A 6,945-nucleotide genomic window follows, 5' to 3' on the forward strand; every position below is an offset into this window, starting at 1 on the left:
TGTGTTTCTCTTTCTTGTATCTATAGCAGTGACATTCCAACTACCCAGTCTTTAAGAGCTGGGGACCTTAGTCCTTAGGGTCAGGGAGACAGCCAGGGGATAGAGAACACATTCTACCTCTATGTGTATTTCTGCATATTCATTTTCTTTCTATGAGGAATTCACCTGGCTTTTCCTCCCTGCTTGAATGTAAGTCTAAGGTTCATTTGCTGAAACTTTTTTTTTTTTTTTTTTTTTTGAGACAGGGTCTCACTATGTTGCCCACGCTGGAGTGCAGTGGCATGATCACGGCTCACTGTAACCTTGAACTGGGCTTAAGTGATCCTCCCACCTTGGCCTCCCAAAGCGTTGGGATTACAAGCATGAGCCACTGCGCCCAGCCTGCTGAAATTCTTAAGGCATGAGAATACTACTAGAGACACTTGACAGCATTTATTGGGCATCTATTACATAATATTCACTTTAGATATATTGTCTAATTAATACTACAAGGTCTGTCTCTATATTGTACACTGGAACCTTAGAAAGTTAAGTGATTGGCCCAAATGAGGACACATAGCATTCTCTCTCAGATGCAGAGACCACGCCCTTTTCTCTGTACCACACTACCTCCTACTTTTCACAAAGGGATGTTCTGTAGCCCTTCATAGGTTGTGATGCCAGAAGGGGCAAGATTGGAGTCTAATGCCATGCCACTGCATAAGCAGTCCTTTCTCCTAATACAGTCAGAAGAACTGAAAGACCATTACAAAAATAAGTATTCAGATTAGCAATCAAGGTGATCAAAATGTAAAAGATAATGTGTAGGAAAAACGTCACACCAAGTTTATGTGCTAAGGCCATCACCTATTTTGCCAACCTGAATGGATGGACAATGTTCTATGGGAAACAAAGCATTTTTGTCTTCTTTTTCTCTTTCTCTCTCTCTCCCTTTCTTTTTTATAAATAGAGACAGGGTTTCACCATGTTGCCCAGGTTGGTCTCAAGCTCCTGAGCTTAGGCAATCCTCCTGCCTTAGCCTCTAAAAATGCTGGGATTATTGGCATGGGCCACCTTTCCTGGCCAGTGTTTTCTTAAAATAGTATACTTTTCTTTCTTTTTTTCAAACATAAGAAAATAATTTTTTATTCCCTAGTTTTTATTTGCCATATTTCTTACTTTTTTCTTTTTAAGAGATAGGATAGGATCTCACTATGGTGCCCAAGCTGGACTCAAGCAATCCTTCTGCCTGAGCGCCCCCACCCCAAGTAGCTGGATATTATTTGCCATATTTCTGATGGCTTAGAAATTATATCCTCCCCTAACCACTGTCTGAAAACTTTTCTAAGCATCAAAAGTAATCTTTTGGAAAAAGCAAAATTGTAATGGAGAAGAAAATGTTTTCTCAAGACAGTTTAAGGATATTGAGGTGCTCTTACTAAAACAAAATTATTATGTCATTGTAAGCTCCTTTCTTAGAAAAACAAATTCTAGAGTTCAAGATTCCAGAAAAACAAAGTCTAGAGTTCAAGAAATTTGTTTAAAAACAAATTCTAGAGTTCATTTCATGTGCTCTAAGTATGTAAAATTATTACTCTATTGCCAACTTTGTTTTTACTCTCTAAGTGACCTGCTGTTTCAGTGAAGGAGACTCGTGTTTTTTACACTTTCTTTTCCTAAAAATGATATAGCAAATATTACAAATGTTAAGTAATTACTAGACCTAACAGAAGTTCCATACACAAAGCTTTAGGTTCAATTCTCTGAAGGAGGGAAAACAAATTTAAATTACATTTTGCTGATACCTTCATAAAAGTGTGAAATCATTTCGTTTCCCTGGGTTTTACAGAAAACACTTCTAAAATGCCACAAAGATGTATAACGAGACATAAAACTGCAAATATTAACTATTTCCTTGAAATATAATTTAAACTTGGTGACTAGGACAAGAAAATGTCACATTCCTTTCTCTTGCTAAGGAAATTGCATATTTCCTTTGCAAAAATAAAGAATATGCAGTCTTTGAAAGAGTGTATGTGACAGTTTTAAAGTTGTTTTGTTTCATGTTAAAAGTTTCTATAAATTTTCATGATTGTGTCAAAGCTGAAAAATGAAAAGAAACAAAGACGAAAAAGGAAAACATTATTAATCTTAGGCATACAAGTTTTGTTTCTCACCAATGTCAAAAACAACATTTATGCCATATCTGTATTTTGTTCTTTCTAAATGTTATCTTGAGTTATATAATTTTCAAATCCATCTGAGAATGAATACACTTTTAAATTTTTGCTTAGGTTTCCCTCCATGATCTGCAATATTCTAAACAGAATATTCTAAATATTCTGTCTTTGCCAGGATTTGTGAAGCAAATGGATATGCATTTTACTAAGTGGAAAATGTAGCTGCGACATGGGCGGTTAACTGCTGGCGAGTGTGCGGTGTTTGGTTTATGGACTAAAGGACACCATAAGCTTTGGCTGAGAACATTAATTTCATGGGGTAATTGAGTACTTCTGGGAACACAGAGCCTCTTAAAAACATAGATTAACTGAATTTTTGGAATTTCACTTAACTGAAGTGAAGGAAAAGTTTAATGGTAATATCAAATACTGTCTAAGGGCTTTACATCTATTTACTCCCTTAACTCTCATTGACTCTATTAGGTAGGCACTGCCATTGTCTCCCTTTACAGATGAGAAACTGAGGCCAGAGAATTCCAAGGACTTTGCCAAAATTCACACAGCCTCTGAGTGGAAGACTCATGCTCTTAGCAACTTACTAGGTTTAAAATTGTGGTTGTTTATGTCTTATTGATAGAAAGAAAAGATGGACTCAATGGAAAAGGACACAAGGAGTATTTATTGCACCTGAAAGGGTTGAGTTACGTATGATTTCAGAATTTGGTCCAGGGTGCATGGATTTAAAATACTCTGGGAAGGCAAGATAATGGGTCGCAGAGTATAAAAGGGCCAGGCCAAGAACTCTGGGGAAGACAGGAAAGTCCCTCGCTCAGCTTCCTGGCTCCTGACAAACCGGCTCAGCAATGGGCTTTGTCAGCTGCCACAGTGGCTTTCCTGGTTTCTGTGAAGGTTCCAGACTAAAGGGCCGGTCAGGGATGTTGAGGAGCTATGCTTTGTTCAACTAGTAAGTATGTTGCAGGAGTAAATGTACACAACACATAGATATGTGTATGTAGACTGTGTTGTTTCTTTCACTTTACTTTTTCCTCTCATTATTAACAGTACAATAAAAGTGTATGTAATACCAAAGCGGGACAAATCTATTTAACTTCTACTTTTGATTAACAGTGAAAAGAGCTACCTTCTGGATTCAGAAAGTTTGACTAGTTCCTTCTATGAGAATAACTTTTGTTAGCCAATTATTAATACATATTAGTTTTACCATGACCAGAATAAACTAAAGTGCATTTTGTTTATCACTATCAATGTTAAACATAAATTTTCCCAATTCCATATCTATTTATGGGAAGGATATAGTTGTATCACATACATAATTTATTGAAAAGCAACACATCCAAAATACTTGAAATGGAAAATCTTCAAAGAATTCCTGACTATTTAATGCATCTTTAAAAATTAAACTAATTTGGTAATTTGTAGCACAATTTTCCTGTATTTCAAAACATAGTGTTTTTATAAGCATATAAGCTTATTACTAACATTATGGACTAGAATAATTTTGTGATTTCAATGCTCACCAAATTATTTTTAAAATACAATATTCTATAGAACTCACCTTTTGCCCATTCATCCCTGGAATTCCAGGTGCTCCAATAGAACCCTAAAGAGACACATGATTAAATTCAGTTGATATCATACACAAAATATTTCAATTCTAAATTTATATTGTATTAGTTATGTAAGCCTTGCTAAAACATTTCTAGGAAGTCTTATTTTTCAGACCTTATCCACTGTGTTCAAATATATAATGTAAGCAGATTCCTCAAGCTTCCCCAGAAACTACAGAGTTAAAATTAAACCTTGCTTCTAAGTATCCACTTAACTTTAATATGTTTTAAAGAAATTTACATGATAAATTGGTCATACCTATCAGAGGGCCACATGGCTCTAAATTTTCATGTTTTTAAGAATAAATAGGCTTAGTTCCATCTGGAAAAAGCCTACCAGTAGCAGTAACACTTGCATTTCATGAGTTAAAATACAATGAAACAAAAGGTAATTAAAATAACAACCATTTGTTCCGCAGTTAAATAAGGGGCCCATGTCGCAAACTCAAATTTGTTTTATTTTAAGCATTTTCCTCCAAGACTTTCAAGGAGTAAGTTTAAGCCACATGAATGTGAATATGTCTTCCAGAGTGACTCAAAAAGTTGCAAAAAATGTTATACACTGACCAGGAACAACACAACTTCTGTGCAAAAAAAGTTAAGGTGTGTGTGTAAGCACGTGTGGGCGTGTGTGTGCACATGCATAGTGGCATGAGTATGAATGATTGGACATAGATGGGTGAGCTGGAGAATAAGAAAGCTAATTATTACCTGAGAAAATCTATGACATTTAACGGGATATAGAAACATTAGCAAATATTTTCAAACAGTGATGTCATTTCCCTCCATTACACCTTCCATTTAGGCTCTGGAGAAACCATTTTAAATACAATGTGCTTATTCTTTGTCTAAAACTAGAAAACAGATTTTTCTGATATTACATTTCTTTAATAATAATGGGGAAAAGATTTTTTAAAATCTGTAATTATAGACCAAAACTCCCCTAAAAAAATGGTCTGTAATTATAGACCAAAAACTCCCCTAAAAAATAGTCTACTAAAAAAACAGTAATTATAATCAAAACAAATTGAGATGGCAAGTTCCTTAGTGCATTCAGTGATTATATTGAATGGGTCATTAAAGGACTTCCCGAAGCCTGAAGCAGTAATTTTATCCTGGTCGTATGTGGATTAGAGTAGCTTTACAATTTCACACCATGCTTAATAGAGACATTATTGCAAAGGACAAAATGTTCCTATGCACAAGTTGTCCTGCAACCCATGGGCTTTTACTTGGTTTGTAGGATTATGTTTCAACAGATGCCACATGCCCAGTGCTTGGGGGATAAAAAGTCTCTATCTTTGATGGATTCCAAAGATAAAGAATAATCACTTTTCCACCTGTTATAATACAATTGTTTTCTTTAGTTTTCCGTGGGTTAAATATCCCCCTCCCGGCTTGAGGGGTGTAAGGATGGGGGAATGAGGACTTAGTGATATTTTGTTGGCAAAATGCCATCTATTTGCTATTAATATATTTACTGCTATAGGATAGGTGTAATTTTGGAAACCCTAGATCTTCTCCATCAGAATTTGAAAAAAAAAATTTTTTTTTTGAGACCAAGTTTTGCTCTGTCTCACCCAGGCTGGAGTGCAGTGGCACAGTCTTGGCTCACTGCAGCCTCTGCCTCCCAGGTTCAAGCGATTCTCCTGTCTCAGCCTCTTGAGTAGCTGGGACTACAGGCGTGTGCCACCACACCCAGCTATTTTTGTATTTTTAGTAGAGATGGGGTTTCACCATGTTGGTCAGGCTGGTCTCTAACTCTTGACCTCAGGTGATCCAACAGCCTCAGCCTCTCAAAGTGCTGGGATTACAGGCATGAGCCACTGTGCCTGGCCTCTCCAGCAGAATTTAATCGTCAATTCTGATGATTGCGGATAACAATGAAATGACAATCAGGAAGTCACTGTTCAGGTTACCTCAGCAAAGAAGGACACCAGTAGGCTACTTGAATATAGTGAACCCAGCAATATCCTTTTTTTGGGCTCAGTTCTCTGGCCGTTTGGCAATCATATAATTGAGGAAGGCCATGCATTCATTTTGCAATATCAAATTATCTTTCACATTTTAAATTTTGTCATGTTTTACCAGTATTTGAATTAAAATTCAATAATGTACAAGTTCAGCAGACAACTTAAAAAGAGTCTGCTCTTGGATTTATTGAATTTTTTATAATGGAGTAAATTAGAAATCTAATGCTCACATTATGTGACTATATTTTTAGAAAGCAGAATACACAAACCAGACTAACTGCTTCAGCATGGCTTACAGTAGCTAATTTCATTCACCTCTCCTGCTTGCCATTAGGTCATGAGAGCATAATTACTTTCACAATATTGTTGTTTATACTCTACCTTTTGTCCCGGAGGCCCTAGAGGACCCTAAAAAAGAAAAACGATTCAATTAACATACTATTGTAGCCATTTAAGCTTAGATGACCAATTTAAACTGTCCTATTCTCTAAGATTCTCTTTGCTGTACTGAAATATGTTGACATTTCATATATCAGGAAAAAAAAAGAAAAATTTCAGTTTGAAGTTCCAAGTGGATCTTTTCTTCTAATTTTCTTTTGAAAAACATTAAGCATATGCAGCAGGATTCTGATTTCTCCTCTCTATTAAAAAATAATCTTTGCTGTTCCAGCACATATTGTTTTTTTAAAAAATACCTATAAATGTGTCACATCAATCTCATTTAGAAGGCTGAAGATATAGTCCCTAGAAGCAGTTAAAATGCAATGTAGTTTCTCAGCAAATGGACACATTAGATGACTTCTGCACCTGCAAATCTTCAGTAAGCAGATTTGCAAAGGAAATAATTGAATAGCATTACAAAGAAACATGACTTTTTTTTTCTGTTCTTCCTCTTAGGAAATATGGTCAACTAACCTGCACAAAAACTTGTTTACAAACTAGGGGAGGCCAGTGTCAACTGTGATACCGAGTATATACTAGAAAAGGGAACAAAAGATGCTGTCAATTGTTTCTTAGACTAAGATACTGGGTGGAGGAGATTTAGTGAGATGAATGAGAATATTTATACAGCATGGAAATGCAGCAATTTTGAGATTTAGCAGTTTTTCAACCACAAAGTCAGTGTTGGGATTCTCTTGGCTTTATTTAGAGCAAGGCATGGCTTTGAGACAGTGGAAAATAACT

General features: G+C 35.8%; 1 protein-coding gene across 11 annotated transcripts in view; it reads right to left on the minus strand.

Moving 5' to 3' along the window:
* Positions 1 to 6,945, minus strand: part of COL25A1 (collagen type XXV alpha 1 chain) — a 493,934-nt gene that overhangs the window by 105,712 nt on the left and 381,277 nt on the right. For all 11 annotated transcript variants that reach the window (NR_045756.3, XM_011532335.3, XM_011532334.3 and 8 more), the window contains 2 exons: positions 6,142 to 6,168; positions 3,736 to 3,780 (listed from right to left, as the gene is read on the minus strand). Coding sequence is in view for 10 of the 11 variants with exons in the window: in XM_011532335.3 (XP_011530637.1) it covers positions 3,736 to 3,780; positions 6,142 to 6,168 (72 nt within the window). In the remaining variant the exon portion in view is untranslated. The remainder of the gene's footprint in view (positions 1 to 3,735; positions 3,781 to 6,141; positions 6,169 to 6,945) is intronic.

Source organism: Homo sapiens, chromosome 4 (genome assembly GCF_000001405.40).
Source record: "Homo sapiens chromosome 4, GRCh38.p14 Primary Assembly".
Lineage (NCBI taxonomy): Eukaryota > Metazoa > Chordata > Mammalia > Primates > Hominidae > Homo > Homo sapiens.